Source organism: Homo sapiens, chromosome 11 (assembly GCF_000001405.40).
Source record: "Homo sapiens chromosome 11, GRCh38.p14 Primary Assembly".
Taxonomy (NCBI): Eukaryota; Metazoa; Chordata; class Mammalia; order Primates; family Hominidae; genus Homo; species Homo sapiens.
In genome coordinates, this window is record NC_000011.10 from 1,158,462 (window position 1) to 1,182,078 (window position 23,617).

The 23,617-nt window shown below is 62.1% G+C and overlaps 1 protein-coding gene across 1 annotated transcript in view; it reads left to right on the plus strand.

The window, feature by feature from the left end:
• The window catches only part of MUC5AC (mucin 5AC, oligomeric mucus/gel-forming), a 43,186-nt gene that overhangs the window by 509 nt on the left and 19,060 nt on the right, over nt 1-23,617 (plus strand). Inside the window, exons 2-30 of the mRNA NM_001304359.2 lie at nt 2,151-2,228; nt 3,066-3,125; nt 3,446-3,707; nt 4,071-4,185; nt 4,494-4,584; nt 5,421-5,530; nt 5,645-5,858; nt 5,946-6,071; nt 6,841-6,958; nt 7,161-7,299; nt 9,416-9,526; nt 10,022-10,091; nt 10,181-10,318; nt 10,401-10,565; nt 13,968-14,062; nt 16,035-16,161; nt 16,421-16,676; nt 16,757-16,809; nt 17,690-17,790; nt 18,053-18,204; nt 18,467-18,605; nt 18,770-18,883; nt 18,993-19,172; nt 19,983-20,222; nt 20,631-20,787; nt 21,561-21,689; nt 21,893-22,055; nt 22,678-22,721; nt 22,810-22,998. Coding sequence (NP_001291288.1) covers nt 2,151-2,228; nt 3,066-3,125; nt 3,446-3,707; nt 4,071-4,185; nt 4,494-4,584; nt 5,421-5,530; nt 5,645-5,858; nt 5,946-6,071; nt 6,841-6,958; nt 7,161-7,299; nt 9,416-9,526; nt 10,022-10,091; nt 10,181-10,318; nt 10,401-10,565; nt 13,968-14,062; nt 16,035-16,161; nt 16,421-16,676; nt 16,757-16,809; nt 17,690-17,790; nt 18,053-18,204; nt 18,467-18,605; nt 18,770-18,883; nt 18,993-19,172; nt 19,983-20,222; nt 20,631-20,787; nt 21,561-21,689; nt 21,893-22,055; nt 22,678-22,721; nt 22,810-22,998 — 3,936 coding nt within the window. The remainder of the gene's footprint in view (nt 1-2,150; nt 2,229-3,065; nt 3,126-3,445; nt 3,708-4,070; nt 4,186-4,493; nt 4,585-5,420; nt 5,531-5,644; nt 5,859-5,945; nt 6,072-6,840; nt 6,959-7,160; nt 7,300-9,415; nt 9,527-10,021; nt 10,092-10,180; nt 10,319-10,400; nt 10,566-13,967; nt 14,063-16,034; nt 16,162-16,420; nt 16,677-16,756; nt 16,810-17,689; nt 17,791-18,052; nt 18,205-18,466; nt 18,606-18,769; nt 18,884-18,992; nt 19,173-19,982; nt 20,223-20,630; nt 20,788-21,560; nt 21,690-21,892; nt 22,056-22,677; nt 22,722-22,809; nt 22,999-23,617) is intronic.

Below are 23,617 nucleotides of genomic sequence, written 5' to 3' on the forward strand. Positions count from 1 at the left end.
ACCCCACACATGCCCAGTTCACCAGCTCACGTTCCCTGTCTGGGCCTCGATGGGGATCTCCTGCGGGGGGAGGTCTCAGCCTCTGAGCTGGGATGTGATGGTGAGGCCCACAAGGGAACTGTTTCACCCCCGCCCTGAGGCTAAGAGGGTGATGGGGGAGGCTCCAGGTCCTGTGGTCTGGACTGCCCCTTGCTGGGCCAGCAGTTCCCTTCCTCTGCTTCTGAGGGACACCTGGGACCGGGTCTGCTGGTGACCATGTGCCCCCATGGGGTAATGCCGGGGTTTGGAGGGGGGTGGGTGCTCCTGGGCTCCTGGAACAGCAGGGCAGGGACCTCAGCACTGCCGAGACCGCCACATGGCCCACCCAGGTCCCTCGCCCAGCCCTGTCCCCAGCCTCTGGCCCTCTGCCAGGCAGTCTCAGAGCAAGAAGAACCCTCTCCCGGTGTCTCCGTGCCACCCTCCACTGTGGCCTAGTCGGACTCTGCCCCGCCGTCCCTCGTCTGTACCACCCTCATCTCAGAAGCAGGAATTCTGTCCCGGGGCTGCTCCCAGGAGAGGGCGGAGCTGGGGCTGGGGTCTGCGGGGGCTTAGAAGGTGGGGGCAGGCCTGGGCTGGGACTAGATAAGTGAGGCTCAGGCCGTCATCTCCGTCTCCCCCACGGGGCTTGCAGATGCTAACACCCCTCCGCCCACTGACGGATTTGATGCAGTGGGCCCCACTGGGGCCAGAGGGTGTGAGGGCGAGGGGGGTCTCCCAGCCTGGCCTGAGGACCCCTATGCCAGTTGCGGGAACTGGAAAGCTGGGGCTGGGGTGCAGGCGAATCACAGCTTTCCCTAAGACCCCTCTCTGCAGGTCCTGGGCTGGGCCGGGCGCCCCTCCCACCATGCTGGTGCTGTGCGGGGCTGTGCGGGGCTGTGCGGGGCTGGGGTCCAGTCCCACGATGATGGTGCTGGGCGGGGCTGTGCGGGGTTGTGTGGGGGGTCTGGTCCCCCCATGCTGGGGTGCTGTGCGGGGCTGTACGAGGCTGTGAGGGGCTGTGCGAGGCTGGGGTCTGGTCCCACCATGCTGGTTCTGTGCGGGGCTGTGCGGGGCTGTGCGGGGCTGTGCGGGGCTGTGCGGGGCTGTGCGGGGCTGTGCGGGGCTGTGCGGGGCTGGGGTCTGGTCCCACCATGCTGGCTCTGTGCAGGGCTGTGCGGGGCTGGCGTCTGGCCCCACCATGCTGGTTCTGTGCGGGGCTGTGTGGGGCTGTGTGGGGCTGTGCGGGGCTGGGGTCTGGTCCCACCATGCTGGCTCTATGCAGGGCTGTGCGGGGCTGGGGTCTGGTCCCACCATGCTGGCTCTGTGCAGGGCTGTGCAGGGCTGGCGTCTGGCCCCACCATGCTGGTTCTGTGCGGGGCTGTGTGGGGCTGTGTGGGGCTGTGTGGGGCTGGGGCTGGTCCCACCATGCTGGCTCTGCGACGGGCTGTGCGGGGCTGTGTGGGGCTGGGGCTGGTCCCACCATGCTGGCTCTGTGCAGGGCTGTGCGGGGCTGGGGTCTGGTCCCACCATGCTGGCTCTGTGCAGGGCTGTGCGAGGCTGTGGTCTGGTCCCACTATGCTGGCTCTGTGCAGGGCTGTGCGGGGCTGGGCCGGGCTGAAATCTGGTGACATTCTGCACATTAGCACAGTCTCTATGGACCCTGAAGATCAGCCTCCTGCAGGGTCTGCTGCTTGTAGGGAGGCAGGGTCCTCCAGGTGGTCTTGGGGCCGACCCCTCCCATGCCTTTGACTGCTCCAGCCCCTCAGTGGGATCACTGTACTGGACAGGGGTCCCAAGCGTGGCAGCGTGGGGGCCAGGGCCTGGCACGCTTGGCAGTGAGTGGGAATGAATAGATAGGGATGCCAGATCGGGGCGAAGGGTCCTGACGCCACCTGCTCCATGGGGCCAGGCTGAGGAGATGCTCCTGGAGGGTCTGGGCTCAGACTTCAGACTCACATGGACAGAGGCCTCCTAGGACCCCCCCAACCCAGCACAGAGAGAGCCCTTGCCACGGGCCACCCCCACGCACTGTGGCCTCCCGTCCCTCTGGTGTCCATGCTGCATCTGTGGCCGCAGCCTGAGCCCCCTCAGCCACCCTGCATCTGGGCTCAGCCCCCCTCCTCTTTCTGCAGGCCATGCCCAGGATGGCTCCTCCGAATCCAGCTACAAGCACCACCCTGCCCTCTCTCCTATCGCCCGGGGGCCCAGCGGTGAGTCTGAGTGTCCGGCCCCCACCCTAAGCCTGTCAGATTCCACCCTCCACCGTGTGGCACGGCCCCTAGGGCCACTGGTCTTAGGGTGGCTCCCCAGCTGGCCACTGCTGAGGACCAAACCTGGGGGGACAGGAGGACACCCCCACATCCATGGCCCTGGTCGGTCACACTACCTGCCTCTCCTTGGGCCAGCCCCCTGCAGCGCTTAGGCTCTGAAGGAGCTGCAGGGCGGGGCAGATTTGCTGTGCCCATGTCCCGTGGGAGCCGGTCACCCTCCGGGGATCTGGAGCTGGGTCCTGCCTTGGTGTCCCCCCCGTTCACCTCCTGACGCTTCAGCAACACGGGCATCTCCCTTGGCGCCGGCCGTCCCCATGTGGCTCGTGCTAGCGGGAGCCCGTGGAGGCCCAGCAGCCCTGGCAGAGGCAGGGCAGGCAAGGGCAGCCAGGGCAGGGGGCTTCAGGCAAACTCTCAGATTGCATTTCTCCAAATCGGGCCAGACAGGCCTAATCTCAGCACCTGAGAGATTGTCTTGAGCCGCTGATGCAGACTCAGGTTCTGAGGCCCATGGGCATGTGAGAGCTGGCAGCCCCTGGGGACTTCTTCCTGGTGACAGCCGGGAGGAATGAAAAAGTCACCGAACGCAGGGTGTGTGGTCACAAGTACACAACGTGCAGATGGTGGGTGGGTGGGAGGGGGCCCAACACGCAGCAGAATCCGGAGTTGGCTTCGGAGCCAGGAGCTGGGACCTGCTGACTCTGGAACGTCTCCTCTGGCTGCGGAGCCCCCGCCCCACGTGGGGCCGTGCGTGAATCCTACCAGCCCCTGTCTCCGCAGGGGTCCCGCTCCGTGGGGCGACTGTCTTCCCATCTCTGAGGACCATCCCTGTGGTACGAGGTGAGTGGAGCCCGGAGGCCTGGGTGGGGAAGGGTCATAGCTTTGCTGAGCTCCCCGCTCAGGCCTGGAGGTGCCGGGTGGAGAGGGGCCCCAGCTTTCCGGGTGAACACTGGGTGGGTATTGGAGCCAGAGGGCCCAGCATCTCCCTGCACACGTTTCTGGGACTTCCCAGATGCAGGAAGGACCCCTGGGTGCCCCGTCCAGGGCAGCAGCACTTCCTGCAGGACCCTGGGGAGGGGCAGGAGGTACAGGGCAGAGGCAGGGGGTGCAGGGCGAGGATGAGGGCGACGCCCCCAAACACCATGCTGCTTCCACCGCAGCCTCCAACCCGGCGCACAACGGGCGGGTGTGCAGCACCTGGGGCAGCTTCCACTACAAGACCTTCGACGGCGACGTCTTCCGCTTCCCCGGCCTCTGCAACTACGTGTTCTCCGAGCACTGCGGTGCCGCCTACGAGGATTTTAACATCCAGCTACGCCGCAGCCAGGAGTCAGCGGCCCCCACGCTGAGCAGGGTCCTCATGAAGGTGGATGGCGTGGTCATCCAGCTGACCAAGGGCTCCGTCCTGGTCAACGGCCACCCGTGAGTCTGGGTTCTGGGATGGTGGGGGCCACGCGGCGTGTGGGGTGGCATTTCCGGGTGGTTGCGGGGTTTCGCGGTCCTGGGAGGGATGTGGATTTCTCAGGAAGCCCCTGAGAGCAGAGCTGGACATGGGCCCTCCCTCGTCCCCCGAGTGGCCCACCTGCCCCTCCTGGGATCCCCAGGCTCTTATTCTGCCCCTTCCTAGCTCCTCGTGACCCCCGAGCTCCAGAGGTCAATGTCCCCATCCCAGACGCGACTTCACGGTCACGATGACCGTGTCACATTTGCGACCGCAGGCATCTGCCCTGCCTGGGGTCTCTCCTCACTGCGCTCCCAGCCCCTCAGCCCTGCCTTCCTCCACAGGGTCCTGCTGCCCTTCAGCCAGTCTGGGGTCCTCATTCAGCAGAGCAGCAGCTACACCAAGGTGGAGGCCAGGCTGGGCCTTGTCCTCATGTGGAACCACGATGACAGCCTGCTGGTGAGGCTGGGTGGGGGTGTCCCGGTGTGCAACTCCAGCCCTCGAGGGCCGGCCTGCTCCCACAGCCTCTCCGGAGAGGGTAGAAGGTGCCCTGGGCCCAGTCAGGGTCAGACTCCACCCCACACAGCAGGCAAGAACAGGTGCCCAGACACCAATGGTGTCCCGGGGTCTGTGCCCCCAGGATGGAGACTGCTTTCGGGGGTGTCTCTTCCGTGGGCCTCGGCCCCTCCTCGGAAATCTCAGGCTCGAGCCTCATCTGTCCATCTGCCCCTGGTGGGGATGGGTGTCTGATGTCTCTCCCTTTGCAGCTGGAGCTGGACACCAAATACGCCAACAAGACCTGTGGGCTCTGTGGGGACTTCAACGGGATGCCCGTGGTCAGCGAGCTCCTCTCCCACAGTAAGGCCCCACATCGCCCTCAGCCCCTTCCTCAGTGTCCCCTGGGGGCTCAGTGTTGTGTGCACACACACCCTCTGACACTCCGGGCACACACATGCACAGATACACGGATGCAGCTGCCCTCCCTCCTAGCACAGCACACACGTGCACACACGCGATCCCGCAACGCCGGCCTGTCTCAGGAGTGCAGGCAGGGAGCAAATCGCCCATTGGGCCCCTTGCTCTGTGTGGCTGCTCTGGGTGGCGACCCCTGACTGCACGCCCTCTCCTGAAATGACAGACCTGCCTCCTTCTTGGTCTTTGAGTCTCTGCCACCAGGCAGTGGCCTTGCAAATGTGACCTGCACCAGCCAAGGCCCCACTCCCTGCCTCCCCCTGCCAGGCCCATGAAGCCCCATACAAGCCCCGAGTACAGGGTGTCCCTCTGTGGGGAACTGAGTCTGCCTGGGTGTCCAGCAGCCCTTGGCAAGGCAGGCTCAGTGCTGGGGGGGCTGGGTTCTGTGGACTGGGAGGTGTTCAGGCTCCAGCCAGCCTGGCAGGAGGAGACCAGGGTCCTGGGTCAGTTGAGGCCTCAGCCGGCGGCACCCTGTGGCCCGGACACCAACCTCCTGGGCTGTTTCTCCCCATCATTCCAGACCCCCTGAGGGTCCCAGCAGCATGCATGGGGTGGCCAAGCGGGTGCAGTCAGGACAACTCAGGCATCCAGATGGGGCAGGAGCCACCGATGGCCCTTCTAACCCCACCCCAGGGACCCGGCCCTGGGGGCTCTGCTGCTCGGGTGCTGGGCTGACGGGTACCGGGACCTGCAGGCAGAGCCCGCCTCTGTGCTTGCCGCAGACACCAAGCTGACACCCATGGAATTCGGGAACCTGCAGAAGATGGACGACCCCACGGACCAGTGTCAGGACCCTGTCCCTGAACCCCCGAGGAACTGCTCCACTGGCTTTGTAAGCCTTGGAGGGAACAGAGGGCCCAGCAGGTTGAGCAGGAGGGGTTGTGAGCCTGGGAACCGGTCCAGATCCCCCACCGAGGACTCAGACGGGCTGTGGCCTTTGTCCTAGGGCATCTGTGAGGAGCTCCTGCACGGCCAGCTGTTCTCTGGCTGCGTGGCCCTGGTGGACGTCGGCAGCTACCTGGAGGCTTGCAGGCAAGACCTCTGCTTCTGTGAAGACACCGACCTGCTCAGCTGCGTCTGCCACACCCTTGCCGAGTACTCCCGGCAGTGCACCCATGCAGGGGGGTTGCCCCAGGACTGGCGGGGCCCTGACTTCTGCCGTGAGTGTCCCAGCCCCCTGTCCCCCAACCCCTTTGGCAGGGAGGGCAGGGGCAGGCAGACGTGAGCCCTCTCTCTGCCTCCCGCAGCCCAGAAGTGCCCCAACAACATGCAGTACCACGAGTGCCGCTCCCCCTGCGCAGACACCTGCTCCAACCAGGAGCACTCCCGGGCCTGTGAGGACCACTGTGTGGCCGGCTGCTTCTGCCCTGAGGGTGAGGCTCCCCCGCCCCTGGGAAACACAGGTGCACCCCGACAACTAGGGGGCTGTGCTCCCATGGCCAAGCCTCGGAAGAAGGACCCCAGTCCTAGTGTCCCGGGCCCCTGAGGCTGACTGAGGCCCCTGTCCTGGGCCGCTGAGGCTGGCTGAGGATCCTGTCCTGGGCCCCCTGAGGCTGGCTGAGGCCCCTCTCCTGGGCCCCTAAGGCTGGTTGAGAATCCTGTCCTGAGCCTCCTGAGGCTGGCTGATGCCCCTGTCCCGGGCCCCTGAGGCTGGCTGAGGCCCCTGTCCTGGGCCCCTGAGGCTGGCTGAGGATCCTGTCCTGGGCCCCCTGAGGCTGGCTGATGCCCCTGTCCCGGGCCCCTGAGGCTGGCTGAGGATCCTGTCCTGAGCCCCCTGAGGCTGGCTGATGCCCCTGTCCCGGGCCCCTGAGGCTGGCTGAGGCCCCTGTCCCGGGCCCCTGAGGCTGGCTGAGGATCCTGTCCTGGGCCCCCTGAGGCTGGCTGAGGCCCCTGTCCTGGGCCCCTGAGGCTGGCTGAGGCCCCTGTCCTGGCCCCCTGAGGCTGGCTGAGGCCCCTGTCCCGGGCCCCTGAGGCTGGCTGATGCCCCTGTCCCGGGCCCCTGAGGCTGGCTGAGGCCCCCGTCCTGGGCCCCTGGAGCTGGCTGAGGCCCCAGCTCGCTGTGGGGCCGCCATGTTGTTCCCCTGCAACGCCCACTGCGTGGACACAGCAGGCGCCCGTCATAGGCCTGCCTGACCCCTGCAGGGACGGTGCTTGACGACATCGGCCAGACCGGCTGTGTCCCTGTGTCAAAGTGTGCCTGCGTCTACAACGGGGCTGCCTATGCCCCAGGGGCCACCTACTCCACAGACTGCACCAACTGGTAGGTCCCAGCCCCCCTCCAGGCCACCAAGGATGTGCTATGGGACAGACCTGCTGGGGGTTGCAACCCAGGCCGGCAGGCTCCCTCGTCTGGGCTACGGTGTAGGCAGGCCTGGGGTGAGACCCGGTCAGCCTCCTGACGCGGAGGCTGGAGGCTGGTCTCCTGGGGCCGGCACCCACGTGGCACCATCTCTTGCTCTCAGCACCTGCTCCGGAGGCCGGTGGAGCTGCCAGGAGGTTCCATGCCCGGGTACCTGCTCTGTGCTTGGAGGTGCCCACTTCTCAACGTTTGACGGGAAGCAATACACGGTGCACGGCGACTGCAGCTATGTGCTGACCAAGGTACGGCCTGGCTGCCTGGGGTGCTCGCCGGACAGAGGGGGCCCATGGCCAGCCTCCCACAGGCTCCCCCAGCTTGGCTGCATGTCACTGCTGCCCCTGGGGTCACCCTTGGGGGTCCCCGATGTTGAGACCTCAAGGAAGCACTCCAGCTCCCCAGCGCTAGTCCTCACAGGGCCATGAAGGCTGCAGATCAGAGCCTCCAGCACCCACCCAGCATTGGGCCTCACCCAGCACTGGGCCCTCTGCACCTTGGGCTGTTTATTTAACAGACTTTACTCTTGAGAATAGTTTTAGGTTAACAAGGAAATTGAGCACAAAGTACTCCTGCCCCAACACACAGTGTCCCCACGATGAGACCCTGCACCAAACACACAGTCTCTCCCAGAGGAGACCCTGCACCCAACACACAGTCTCCCTATGGTGAGACCCTGCACCCAACACACAGTCTACCCAAGATGAGACCCTGCACCCAACACACAGTCTCCCTATGGTGAGACCCTGCACCCAACATACAGTCTCTGCACGATGAGACCCTGCACCCAACACACAGTCTCCCACGATGAGACCCTGCACCCAACACACAGTCTCCCTATGGTGAGACCCTGCACCCGACACACAGTCTCTCCACAATGAGACCCTGCACCCGACACACAGTCTCTGCACGATGAGAGCCTGCACCCAACACACAGTCTCCCACGATGAGACCCTACACCCAACACACAGTCTCTCCACGATGAGACCCTGCACCCAACACACAGTCTCTCCACGATGAGACCCTGCACCCAACACACAGTCTCCCCAAGATGAGACCCTGCACCCGACACACAGTCTCTGCACGATGAGACCCTGCACCCAACACACAGTCTCCCCAAGATGAGACCCTGCACCCAACACACAGTCTCCCCAAGATGAGACCCTGCACCCGACACACAGTCTCTGCACGATGAGACCCTGCACCCAACACACAGTCTCCCCAAGATGAGACCCTGCACCCAACACACAGTCTCCCCAAGATGAGACCCTGCACCCAACACACAGTCTCCCACGATGAGACCCTGCACCCAACACACAGTTTCTCCACGATGAGACCCTGCACCCAACACACAGTCTCCCCAAGATGAGACCCTGCACCCGACACACAGTCTCTGCACGATGAGACCCTGCACCCAACACACAGTCTCCCCAAGATGAGACCCTGCACCCAACACACAGTCTCCCCAAGATGAGACCCTGCACCCGACACACAGTCTCTGCACGATGAGACCCTGCACCCAACACACAGTCTCCCCAAGATGAGACCCTGCACCCAACACACAGTCTCCCCAAGATGAGACCCTGCACCCAACACACAGTCTCCCACGATGAGACCCTGCACCCAACACACAGTCTCCCTATGGTGAGACCCTGCACCCAACACACAGTCTCTGCACGATGAGACCCTGCACCCAACACACAGTCTCCCCAAGATGAGACCCTGCACCCAACACACAGTCTCTCCCAGATGAGACTCTGCACCCAACACAGTCTCCCCAAGATGAGACCTTGCACTCAACACATAGTCTCCCCCGATGAGACCCTGCACCCAACACACAGTCTCCCACAATGAGACCCTGCACCCAATACACAGTTTCCCTATGATGATACCCTGCGCTGGGGTGGAGGCTGCACTGGTACCCTCACCTCCCAGGTCATGGTTGACATCAGCGACCCTCGTGGTGGTGAAATTCCACGTTTAAGACAGATGTGCAGTGTCTTGTTCCTGCCAGGAAGTTTCACGCAGACAGCTCCACTGCCCTGAAACCCCTTGGAGCTCCTCACCCCTCTCTCGCCCAGCCCCTGGCAGCTGCTGGCATTTGCACCTTCTGAGTGCTGTCTTTCCCAGAGGGTCCTATAGTTGGCGTTGCAGAGTGTGGCCTCCTCAGGGTGCATGCAGATTTCTGTGTGTGCCTGGGTGTCCACACCTGGGGGCCTCCTAGCACACCTCCCTCTCGGGGACTGGGATGGTGGAGTGGGGTTTTCTAGTGAGGGAGAGGAGCACAGCCGGGTGGACTGGCAGGGCCAGGTGGGCTGGGCGTTGGATGGAGTGTGAGGACCCCTGGTGTGTCGTGTTCCGCAGCCCTGTGACAGCAGTGCCTTCACTGTACTGGCTGAGCTGCGCAGGTGCGGGCTGACGGACAGCGAGACCTGCCTGAAGAGCGTGACACTGAGCCTGGATGGGGCGCAGACGGTGAGTGGAGCCTGGCAGGGCAAACCCCGGGAAGAGGGAAGGGGCCTGTCTCTTCTGCAAGTCACCTCTGCCCAAGCCCTTCATCCCTGGCATGAACAGCGAGAGGCGGGGACCCTCTGGCAACACTGGCTGTGTCCATTACTTATGGGTCCACGTGACTGTCCCTAAAGGGAGAAGCTCAGGGCCGGGCCTCCCGGGCCGCCATACCTGACCCAAGGGGCCCCAGGAAGGAGGGACTGGGCGCACCTGCGGCCAGCATGGCTTCTCCACTGAAGTCAATTTATGTTTAGTTAATAACCTTGGTTTTCACTGAAGAATGAAAGGCATGGTCCTCGCAGAAAATTCAGAAAATCAGGCGAGCACAAGGCCACCTTGTAGGAGCCGCAGCTGCAGGGAAAGGCCTCCTAGGCACCTGCAGGCACATTTCACAGCCTCCGCGGGGCTGAGGTGCCGCAAGCCTGCCCCGCGCTCACACATCTGTCTGGCTGCCCTCAGGTGGTGGTGATCAAGGCCAGTGGGGAAGTGTTCCTGAACCAGATCTACACCCAGCTGCCCATCTCTGCAGGTGAGGGCAGTGGCTTCTTCCCCACCCCGGGGCTGCCTGGGGTCCCGCCCCACAGCCCCCAGCAAAACCCTTGTCCTTTGTGTCCCCAGCCAACGTCACCATCTTCAGACCCTCAACCTTCTTCATCATCGCCCAGACCAGCCTGGGCCTGCAGCTGAACCTGCAGCTGGTGCCCACCATGCAGCTGTTCATGCAGCTGGCGCCCAAGCTCCGTGGGCAGACCTGCGGTAAGAGGGCTGCCTTCTGGGCTTGGAGCCCACCCACTCTGGCCAGGGCGCATGGTCCTCAACCTGCCTAACCCGCCCCCAGGTCTCTGTGGGAACTTCAACAGCATCCAGGCCGATGACTTCCGGACCCTCAGTGGGGTGGTGGAGGCCACCGCTGCGGCCTTCTTCAACACCTTCAAGACCCAGGCCGCCTGCCCCAACATCAGGAACAGCTTCGAGGACCCCTGCTCTCTGAGCGTGGAGAATGGTACGGGTGTCCACGGCTCGCCTCTGTGCTGGCCGCCTGGCGCTGGTTCACCCGCTTCCATTTGGCACTGCAGGCAGCGAGGCCGGCCCTGCGTGTGCCTGTGAGCCGGGTGGGGTGGCTCACGAAGGGGCCCAAGGACAGGCTCATGGTGGGCGCCCAACCCAGCTTATGTGGAGCTTCAGGAATGTGGGGCATCTGCTTCAGGGTCAAAGAAAGGGTACAAGTCTCTGTTGGTCAACATCCGCCCTGACCGCCTACCCCTGCACAGGGTGGAGTGGTGGGGACGTGGGGAATGGATTCACCCACTCACCCACCCGTTCACCCATTCACTCACTCACCCACTCACCCACTCACCCACCTCACTCGCCGACTCAACCATTCACTCACCCATTCGCCCACTCACCTCACTCACTCACCCACTCACTCACTCACCTCACTCACTCACCCACTCACTCACTCACCTCACTCACTCACCCATTCACCCATTCACTCACTCACCCACTCACCCACTCACCCACCTCACTCGCCGACTCAACCATTCACTCACCCATTCGCCCACTCACTCACCTCACTCACTCACCCACTCACTCACTCACCTCACTCACTCACCCATTCACCCATTCACTCACTCACCCACTCACCCACTCACTCACCCATTCACCCATTCACCCACTCACTCACCTCACTCACTGACTCAACTATTCACTCACCCATTCGCTCACTCACTCACCTCACTCACTCGCCCACTCACCCACTCACGCTTTCACCCACTCACCTACTCACTCACCCACTCACCCATTCACCCACTCACTCACCCACTCACCGACTCACCCATTCACCCACTCACCCACTCACTCACCCACTCACCGACTCAACCATTCACTCACCCATTCACCCATTCACTCACTCGCCCACTCACCCACTCACCCATTCACCCACTCACCTACTCACTCACCCACTCACCCATTCACCCATTCACCCACTCACTCACCCACTCACCGACTCAACCATTCACTCACCCATTGCCCACTCACTCACCTCACTCACTCACCCACTCACTCACTCACCTCACTCACTCACCCACTCACCCATTCACCCATTCACTCACTCACCCACTCACCCATTCACCCATTCACTCACTCACCCACTCACCCATTCACCCATTCACTCACTCACCCACTCACCCATTCACCCATTCACTCACTCACCCACTCACCCATTCACCCATTCACTCACTCACCCACTCACCCACTCACTCACCCATTCACCCATTCACCCACTCACTCACCTCACTCACTGACTCAACCATTCACTCACCCATTTGCCCACTCACTCACCTCACTCACGCGCCCACTCACCCACTCACCCATTCACCCACTCACCTACTCACCCACTCACCCATTCACCCATTCACCCACTCACTCACCCACTCACCGACTCACCCATTCACCCACTCACCCACTCACTCACCCACTCACCGACTCAACCATTCACTCACCCATTCACCCATTCACTCACTCGCCCACTCACCCACTCACCCACTCACCCACTCACCTACTCACTCACTCACTCACCCATTCACCCACTCACCTACTCACTCACCCACTCACCCATTCACCCATTCACCCACTCACTCACCCACTCACCAACTCACCCATTCACCCACTCACCCACTCACTCACCCACTCACTGACTCAACCATTCACTCACCCATTCACCCATTCACTCACTCGCCCACTCACCCACTCACCCACTCACCTATTCACTCACTCACTCACCCACTCACCCATTCACCCATTCACCCACTCACTCACCCACTGACTGACTCAACCATTCACTCGCCTATTCGCCCACTCACTCACCTCACTCACTCACCCACTCACTCACCTCACTCACTCACCCACTCACCCATTCACCCACTCACCTACTCACTCACCCACTCACCCATTCACCCCACTCACCTACTCACTCACCCACTCACCCATTCACCCATTCACCCACTCACTCACCCACTCACCGACTCACCCATTCACCCACTCACCGACTCACCCATTCACACACTCACCGACTCAACCATTCACTCACCCATTCGCCCACTCATTCACCTCACTCACTCACCCACTCACCCACTCACTCATCCATTCACCCATTCACACACTCACTCACTTACTCACTCACTCAACTTACTCACTCACCCACTCACCCATTCACTCATTCACCCACTCATCCACTCACCCACTCACTCACCCACTCACTCACCCATTCACCCACTCACTCACCTACTCACTCAGTCACCTCACTCACTCACTCACGCATTCACTCACTCACTCACCCACTCACCCACTCACCCATTCACTCACCCATTCACCCATTCATCCACTCACTCACCTCACTCACTCACTCAACTTACTCACCCACTCACCCATTCACCCATTCACCCCCTCACTCACCCACTCACCCACTCACTCACCCATTCACCCATTCACCCACTCACTCACCCACTCACCCACTCACTCACCTACTCAACCACCCACTCACCCACTCACTTACCCATTCACCCACTCACCCACTCACTCACCCATTCACCCACTCACGAACTCACTCACCCACTCACCCACTCACTCACTCACCCATTCACCCACTCACCCACTCACTCACCCATTCACCCACTCACCCACTCACTCACCCACTCATCCATTCACTAACTCACCCATTCACCCACTCACCCACTCAACACTCACTCACCCACTCACCCATTCACCCACTCACCCACTCATCCATTCACTCACTCACCCACTCACCCACTCAACACTCACTCACCCACTCACCCATTCACTCACTCACCCATTCACCCACTCACCCACTCGCTCACCCATTCACCCACTCACCTACTCACTCACTCACTCATCCACTCATTCACTCACTCACTCACTCACTCACTCACTCACTCACTCACTCAGTCATTCACTTCGCCTTCAGAGCTTGGGCGCCAGCCGTGGGGAGGTGGGATCCCATTTGCTGGTTCTGGCCTTCTTCCTGCAGCCTGGGAAGCCAGGGTCCAGTGAGCCCAGTGGAGGGGCCAGAAGGGCCTTGGTTTGTCTGTCCACAGTGGTGGTCACTAGCGTCCCTGGAAGGCGGCACTGTGAGAGGCTGTGAGGGGCTGGGTGGGACATGCAGGAAACGAGAGAAGCCTCGGTTCTGGATGTTGTACCCTGCGTTTGGGGGAGCTTTTCCTCGGGGAGGGCGCCACACCACCCAGGCTGAGTGTGTAGCAGGATGAAGGGCCCAACATCAGACTGCCCAGAGAAGCTGGCCACCCAAACCCCACACCAGAGGCCAAGCTGGGTGGGATGAGTGTGCTGCCTGATCTTAATCCTAACCCTATCCCTCCTCTGTCCACAGAGAAGTATGCTCAGCACTGGTGCTCGCAGCTGACCGATGCCGACGGCCCCTTCGGCCGGTGCCATGCTGCCGTGAAGCCGGGAACCTACTACTCGGTAACATCTGCCGCCTCTTGGCCCGGTGGGGCTCCAGCCACTGAGCCTCACGGCTGCCTCCAGGAGGGCTGGGAGGGCACTGGTGGGCTCAGCAGGCAGGACTAACCTTTCTAGGCTGTGATGGGCACCAGGGGCTGGAACCCAGTCTGTCTGTCCAGCTCCATTCCCCACATCCCCACCCACCCATTCACTCATTCACACATTCACCACTCACCCACACACTCACCCATTCACCTACTCACTCACCCGTTCACCCATTCACTCACCCACTCACTCACCCATTCACCCATTTACCCACTCACCCATTCACTCACTCACCCACTCATCCACCCATTCACCCACTCACTCACCCATTCACCCATTTGCCCCCCCACTCACTCACCTATTCACCCATTTACCCACTCACCCATTCTCTCACTCGCCCACTCACCCATTCACTCACTCATCCACTCACCCACCCATTCACCCACTCACTCACCCGTTCACCCATTCGCCCCCCCACTCACCCATTCACTCACTCATTCACTAACTTACTCACTCACTCACTCACCCACTAGCTCTTTCACTCACTCACTCACTCATTCATTCACTCATATCTTCACTGACTCATTCACTCATTTACCCACTCACTAATTCCTTCACCTACTCATCTACTTACTCATTCACTCATCCGCTCACTCATTTACTCACTCATTCACGAATTTCTTCACTCATTTACTCATTTACTCACTCACTAATTCCTTCACTTATTCATTACTCACTCACTCATCCACTCACTCACCCACTCACTCACTCATCCACTCACTCACTCATCCACTCACCCACTCACTCACTCATTCCTTCATTCATTCCTTCACTCACTCATTCACTCATTTACTCACTCACTAATTCCTTCACCTACTCATTCATTCATCCACTCATCCACTCACTCACTCATCCACTCACTCATCCACTCACTCATCCACTCACTCGCTCATTCCCTCATTCATTCCTTCACTCACTCATTCACTCATTTACTGACTCACTAATTCCTTCACCTACTCATTCATCCACTCACTCACCCACTCACTCATCCACTCACTCACTCATCCACTCATTACTCATCCACTCACTCATCCACTCACTGATTCCCTCATTCATTCCTTTACTCATTCACTCATTTACTCACTCACTAATTCCTTCACCTACTCATTCATTCACGCACTCATCCACTCACTCACTCACTCATCCACTCACTCATCCACTCACTCACTCATCCACTCACTCGCTCATTCCCTCATTCATTCCTTCACTCACTCATTCACTCATTTACTGACTCACTAATTCCTTCACCTACTCATTCATCCACTCACTCACCCACTCACTCATCCACTCATTACTCATCCACTCACTTACTCATCCACTCACTGATTCCCTCATTCATTCCTTCACTCACTCATTCACTCATTTACTCACTAATTCCTTCACCTACTCATTCACTCACTCATTCATCCACTCATTCACTCACTCACTCATCCACTCACTCACTTATTCCCTCATTCGTTCCTTCACTCATTGGTTAACCATGTTTATGGCATTTTTCTTGCACTTCCAGCCCTACACTAGGCCCAGGGGCTAAACTTCAGGGGTTTGTTGCCCACCTGGCCCCAGGGGCCAAATGAGAATTAGGCCAAGGCTGAGCTGATGTGCTGTGTCTGAGGCAAGCTGGTCTTGGCTGGACCTGTTGGGTCACAGAGATGAAGGATCTGGTTCTCCCAGTAACCCCTGCTCTGCACAGTGGTTCTGCTCCATGACATGCCAAGCAATTCTGCTGAGGGGGCAGGATGCCTGTGAGGACTCACAGAGGGGTCCTGGGGGCAGGAAGACCTGGGATGGGAGGACCCTGGCTGCTGGATGTGTGGCCTGCAGGGCGTGGGGGGCCACCAGGTGTGGGCTGGGGTCTCTGATGCCCCGATGACCCCCTTCCCTGCAGAACTGCATGTTTGACACCTGCAACTGTGAGCGGAGCGAGGACTGCCTGTGCGCCGCGCTGTCCTCCTACGTGCACGCCTGTGCCGCCAAGGGCGTGCAGCTCGGCGGCTGGAGGGACGGCGTCTGCAGTGAGTGCCTGCCAAGCCCAGCCCCTTTCCCTCGCTGGGTGGCCGCGGGTCTTGGGGTGCCCCCAGTGTGCACAGGTTGCTCTAAGGGCCCCCGTCCTCTGTGCTGGGCTTGAGGGCAAGGAGCGCCCAGGTCAGTGTGGCCTTGGACCCGGCCGAGGAGGGGAGGGGAGGGTAGCCGAGAGGGCTGGGCTCACTCACTGCTGGCTGCCCACTGCCGGGCTGTGTGTCCTGAGAATCCCCTCTTCCTGGCATCCCGCAGCGAAGCCTATGACCACTTGCCCCAAGTCAATGACGTACCACTACCATGTCAGCACCTGCCAGCCCACCTGCCGCTCCCTGAGCGAGGGGGACATCACCTGCAGTGTTGGCTTCATCCCCGTGGATGGCTGCATCTGTCCCAAGGGCACCTTCCTGGACGACACGGGCAAGTGTGTGCAGGCCAGCAACTGTCCCTGCTACCACAGAGGCTCCATGATCCCCAATGGGGAGTCGGTGCACGACAGCGGGGCTATCTGGTAAGAGCTCCCGCTGTGGACTGGGGGGTCCCTCGTGTCTCCTGGCCCAGGCTGAGGCTCTGACCACCATCTCCTCACAGCACCTGCACACATGGGAAGCTGAGCTGCATCGGAGGCCAAGCCCCCGCCCCAGGTGAGTGCCAGAAAGGAGGCACTGTGGCCCCCAGCCTCCTCATCTCTATAAGAAATCCTGAAAAATGGCTTCAGGGTTAGCCCCACCACAAGTCAGCGGGGCTGGTGGTTGTCCATCAGCTGCTCAGTGTCAGGCATGGTTTGTGCCCTCTAGGCAGCAAGGGGGAAGAAGGGAGGGTGTGGGGCGCACATATGACACTCACACCCACTCATGCACATGCTCACACACCCACTCATGCACACGCTGACACGCCCACTCATGCACACACACCCATTCATGCACACACTCACACTCATGCACATGCTCACACACCCACTCATGCACACGCATTCACACCCTCATGCACACGCACTCACACCCACTTATGCAACACTCACACACCCACTCATACACACGCACTCACACCCACTCATGCACACACACCCATTCATACTCATGCACACGCTCACACACCCACTCATGCACACACACCGTCATGCACCCACACTCATGCACACGCTCACACACCCACATGCACACGCACTCACACCCACCCACTCATGCACACCACACCCACTCATGCACACGCACTCACACACCCACTTATGGACACGCTCACACATCCACTCATGCACATGCACACACACCCACACATGCACACACACCCACTCATGCACACACACTCATACTCATGCACACACACTCACACCCAGTTATGCAACGCTCACACCCACTCATGGACACGCTCACACACCCACTCATGCACATGCACTCACACCCACTCATGCACACGCACCCACTCAATGTGCACGCACATGGCACAGACACGTCCTCCCTGAACACATGTTTGAGGCACCGCAGCAGCCTGTGGCTGGCCCCCTGACGGCCCCTCCCTCCCCAGTGTGTGCTGCGCCCATGGTGTTCTTTGACTGCCGAAATGCCACGCCCGGGGACACAGGGGCTGGCTGTCAGAAGAGCTGCCACACACTGGACATGACCTGTGTAAGTCCCTGAGGACTCCCCAATGACAGACCCTCCATCTGCCCCTGCCTGCTAAGGGCGCCTGTCCCCAGGGTGGGCAGTGGTGAGCCTCTGACACATTAGGCCATGGGCTGCCCCACGTCCCAGAGGACCCCTGCCCATGCGCTCCCGGACTCCCTGGTCCTGTGGTCCCTCCACTGTGGTGTGGGTGAGCTGTCCCTGGGAGGACCTGGCAGGCCCCGTGCCCTGCCCCATCACTCAGTGGTGTCTGCTGGCCCTGCAGTACAGCCCCCAGTGTGTGCCTGGCTGCGTGTGCCCCGACGGGCTGGTGGCGGACGGCGAGGGCGGCTGCATCACTGCGGAGGACTGCCCCTGCGTGCACAATGAGGCCAGCTACCGGGCCGGCCAGACCATCCGGGTGGGCTGCAACACCTGGTATGCCGGGGGCTCAAAGCCCATGGGGGGTGTCAGGCCCAGGAAACCAGAGGCCCTCCTTAAAGACGGGCGAGCCCCCAGCACAGGGGTCCCGGGAAAACGCAGGGCACAGACTCAGGGCTGGACGCCACCAGCAGCCCCAGCCAGGGAGGCCCAGTGGGCGCGTGTCTATGGTGCCAGGTCCCCCCAGGGGTAGGAAGGCTGCACCCAGTCAGGCAGGCACCCTGTGTGTGCTCTAGCCTGACCCCCAGATGTCCCCCAGCACCTGTGACAGCAGGATGTGGCGGTGCACAGATGACCCCTGCCTGGCCACCTGCGCCGTGTACGGGGACGGCCACTACCTCACCTTCGACGGACAGAGCTACAGCTTCAACGGAGACTGCGAGTACACGCTGGTGCAGGTGAGCCGGCGCGTTTGGGGTCCTCACGGCGGCCCCCGTGGCCCGAAGCTGCTCACTGCCTCTCTGCGGCTGCCCCAGGGTGCACACAGGTTGTCCCCGCCTCATCCTCCTTGCGGGAAGGAGGGCAGGGCCTGCCTGGTCCTTGATGGCCTCTGCTTCCCCAGAACCACTGTGGCGGGAAAGACAGCACCCAGGACTCCTTTCGTGTTGTCACCGAGAACGTCCCCTGCGGCACCACAGGGACCACCTGCTCCAAGGCCATCAAGATTTTCCTGGGGGTGAGCGAGGCTGGGTGGTCGCATGCCCTCCAGGAGGCTCCCATGGCAGCGTCTGGTCAGGTGGGCTGGGGTTCTTGCTGGGGGCCCTGAGTGACCCCTTGCCATGCAGGGCTTCGAGCTGAAGCTAAGCCATGGGAAGGTGGAGGTGATCGGGACGGACGAGAGCCAGGAGGTGCCATACACCATCCGGCAGATGGGCATCTACCTGGTGGTGGACACCGACATTGGCCTGGTGCTGCTGTGGGACAAGAAGACCAGCATCTTCATCAACCTCAGCCCCGAGTTCAAGGTGAGACCACGCCCCTCGTCCAGGCCAGGGCCGGCTGGAAACCTGGAGGTGGGGAGCGTGGAACAGGTGGGCAGAGACGAGAGGCACAGAGACACAGAGAGAAACACAGAGATGGAAGCGGGGTGGGAAGTGGGGGGGACGGAGCCTTGGCAAGGGCAGCGGGTCAGGAGACTCCTTGGCTGGGTGTCAGTGTTCTGGGGCTAGAGCAAAGGCCCGCACCCTGGCGGATTTGCCCGCAGCCTGGACACTGGAAGTCCAGCAGGGCATCCACAGGGCCGAACTCTTTCAGAAGGCTCTGGGGGGCTCCTTTTGGCCCCTTGCATCTGCCGGGGTCCCCAGCGCTCCTTGGCTGTGGCCACATCACTTGGATCGCCGCCCCGTCTTCACGCAGCCTCCTCCCTGTGACTGGGTCTAAGTTTCCCTCTTTTATAAGGACACCAGGCATTGGATTCAGGACCCACTCATTACCTCAGTCTGCAAGACCCCATCTCCCAGTGAGGTGCCATGCATAGGCGCCGGGGTCAGGACTTAGGCGGGTCCTTCGAGGCCACGTCAGCTTCTTTTTCTCCAGGAGGGGCTTGCCTCTGGCTCCGGCCCTCGGTGCTCAGCTGCACTGCCCGGGGCCTCCCCAGGTGTAGCTGGAGGTGGGAAGGAGGAAGCAGCACCTGTGGTCGCTGTTGGCCACCTGGGTGGGAGGAGGCGGCCGCAGGGCAGGGTGGCCCTGGGTGGGAGGAGGCGGCCTAGGGGCAGGGTGGCTCTGGCCTTCTCGGTTTGCTGCACCCACCTCCACCTCTCCCGGTGCCTCTGCAGGGCAGGGTCTGCGGCCTGTGTGGGAACTTCGACGACATCGCCGTTAATGACTTTGCCACGCGGAGCCGGTCTGTGGTGGGGGACGTGCTGGAGTTTGGGAACAGCTGGAAGCTCTCCCCCTCCTGCCCAGATGCCCTGGCGCCCAAGGACCCCTGCACGGCCAACCCCTTCCGCAAGTCCTGGGCCCAGAAGCAGTGCAGCATCCTCCACGGCCCCACCTTCGCCGCCTGCCACGCACACGTATGCTGGCCGGGGGGCGTTTCTCTGGGCCCAAGGGGGTCATGGTGACCCAAGGAGCCCCCAGAAGGGAGAAGGGAATGGGGTCTGGGAGACAGCTGCCAACCAAGGGTGTGGGCTGCTGGGACTGGCGCTGGTATGGACTCGCCTAGAGGGGCTGGGCTTCCAGCTCTGACACCTGTCAGCTATGGTTTCGGGGCCCTGGGGGGTGTTAACCCCAAGGGCTGCCGAGGAAGCCCCAGGCACTGTGGATATCCAGATGGGCCCAGCCGGCCACTTGGGGATGGGCATTCGCCCTCCCTGAGCTCCACTGGAACTCGGCCCCGGTCAATGTGCCAGCATGGGCCCGGTCCCCAAGAGCCCGCGGGGTGGTGGGGGGGTCCCTGGAACCTGAAGCCCCGTCTCCCTCAGGTGGAGCCGGCCAGGTACTACGAGGCCTGCGTGAACGACGCGTGCGCCTGCGACTCCGGGGGTGACTGCGAGTGCTTCTGCACGGCTGTGGCCGCCTACGCCCAGGCCTGCCATGAAGTAGGCCTGTGTGTGTCCTGGCGGACCCCGAGCATCTGCCGTGAGTGCGAGTGGGCACCTGGGGAAGAACAGGAAGCGCCGGCAGCGTGTGCCCCACCACACTCGCCGCTGATGCGTGGGGTGTGTGGGGCGGGTGGGGAAGGTTTCCAAATAAACAGAAACACCTGGGCCCAGAGAGGAGGGCGTGGCTGACAGAGGGGTCCCTGGCATGGTAGAACGTTCTGGGCAGAGGGGTCAGCAGAGCTGCCCAGCTCTAGAGAGGAGGGCGTGGCTGACAGAGGGGTCGCTGGCATGGTAGAACATTCTGGGCAGAGGGGTCAGCAGAGTTGCCCAGCTCTAGAGAGGAGGGCGTGGCTGATGGAGGGGTCCCTGGCATGGTTGGGCAGAGGGTTCAGCAGAGCTGCCCAGCTCTAGGGAGGAGGGCGTGGCTGACGGAGGGGTCCCTGGCATGGTTGGGCAGAGGGTTCAGCAGAGCTGCCCAGCTCTAGGGAGGAGGGCGTGGCTGACGGGTCGCTGGCGTGGTAGAACGTTCTGGGCAGTGGGGTCAGCAGAGCTGCCCAGCTCTAGCCCACACGGAGCCTTGCCGGGAACGGGCACTGCTGGATCTGCTCTGACTGGAGACCCCACTCTGGTGGCAGCCTCCGTGGCACCCTGATAATTGGGGGGTCCCGATCTGGCCCACCCTCCCCTGTCCCCATCTTGTGATGGCCGGGAGGTGCAGGGGAGGGAAGCGGCTTTAGAACAGCCCTGGGGTGCGGGGCCTCTGCGAGTGAGTTCCTGGGACCCCACCGAGCCCTTCCTTCCTCCCTGCAGCTCTGTTCTGCGACTACTACAACCCCGAAGGCCAGTGCGAGTGGCACTACCAGCCCTGCGGGGTGCCCTGCCTGCGCACCTGCCGGAACCCCCGTGGAGACTGCCTGCGGGACGTCCGGGGCCTGGAAGGTGGGCTGGGGCCGGTCGGAGGGTGGCCTGGGCTCCGCCGCCTGTGGCCTTCTCCTGGCCCCTCGAGGAGCCTCTGTGGCCCCAGCTTCCAGCACATTCTGGTGCTGTCGGCGAGGCCCGCTGCTTGGGGGCTGGGCGGAGCCCTCCAGAGCGAGGTGGACGACACTCGGTCTGGTTGTGACTCTGGCCTCTTTGGCCCACAGGCTGCTACCCCAAGTGCCCACCAGAGGCTCCCATCTTTGATGAGGACAAGATGCAGTGTGTGGCCACCTGCCCAACCCCGCCTCTGCCACCACGGTGCCACGTCCATGGGAAGTCCTACCGGCCAGGTGCAGTGGTGCCCTCGGACAAGAACTGCCAGTCCTGGTGAGTCCTTTGGGGGGAGGAATATGGAGCCTGCAGCATGCAGGGGAATTTGACCACGGCCTGGGCTTTGGGTGGGGCTGGGAGCGGCAGGGCTGGGGACCTCCCCGTTACTGGAGTTGAAGCTTGGGTCCTGTCCTGGCCCAGGCATCTGTGACATCAGCTTCTCAGGGACCAGCACCCCCATGTCCTGAGTCCCAGAGGCGGGACTGGGTGTAGGGCTCCTCTGGGCAGAAAACCAGCACAACCTCTGGGGAGCAGGCTCGAGGGGCTCAGGGGGCGGCAGGGGGAAGCTGGGCCGAGATGGAGCCCTAGGGTCCCCACCGGAAGGATGCCCATTAAAATCACCCCTGGAAAGTAATGGCTCCACTCTGGCACCCACCTCCCCTGACCCCCGACTGGAGGGGCCCCACGAGGGAGGGACCTTGGGCTGACGCTGGAGAGACAACTGCTGGGACCCAGGTGGGGCCGGCCTCCTGTCCCCCAGTCTGGGGGTGCAATGCAGTTCCCAGGGAACTCCACCCCTGTCGGAGCTGCTCCCTGCCCGCCGTTGGTAGCATGGGATGCCCGTGGAAGGCACACGGCCGCCCCCACGCATCGGCCTGCCCTTCTTCCTTGTCTCCAGCCTTTGTACGGAGCGCGGCGTGGAGTGCACCTACAAAGCTGAGGGTGAGCGGCCGGCAGCCCCTGGGGCTGGGGTCCGGGGGTCTCTGTCTGCGCCCAGCCTCTGACGGGCCTGGGCCCTCCGTCCCCATAGCCTGTGTCTGCACCTACAATGGACAGCGCTTCCACCCAGGGGACGTCATCTACCACACGACGGATGGCACGGGTGGCTGCATCTCCGCCCGCTGCGGGGCCAACGGCACCATTGAGAGGAGGGTCTACCCCTGCAGCCCCACCACCCCTGTCCCCCCAACCACCTTCTCCTTCTCCACACCCCCGCTTGGTAAGGCAAATGTGGCCGAGGAGCCCCAGGGTGAGCCCCCTCCCACTGCCTGGCACAGCTGCCCTTGCTGGACGCTGAGGTCACAGCAGCTCTGGGCATGGGCGGCAGCCCCTGAGGATCAAGAAGGGATCGAGGAGCAGGGAGTCGGGCTCGGGGATGACCTGCTGTTTCCCCACCAGCCACCTGCAGTGGGGAGGGCCTGGCCTCCAAGTCACCCCAGCAGGCCTGGCGTCCAAGTCCTGCCCTCAGCAGCCCCCGGGCCTGGCCTCATTGGGGTGTCAGGGGTCTGGCAGCCCAGGCTGGCCCCGGGGATGCATGGCTATCACTTGCCTCACAATGCTCAGGGCTCAGGTACCCCCATGTCCTCGCCCTCTTCTGGGGGATGTCTCAGGGCCCCAAGGCATCATCTGAGCTTCTCTGAGAGTAGAAAGCTCTGGAACTCACGTGTTCTGGGGCACAGATGTGTGGACCCTGCTCAGGGCATGGCCTGGGAGCCACTTCCCTAAAACTCAGTCGGTTCGCCTGGCTCTTCAGAACCTGTGCCGCTCATGTGGGTTCTGAGCAGGGACCGCGGGTGGGGACAGGAAGACAGACCTGCTGGCGCAGCTCCAGACCGGTG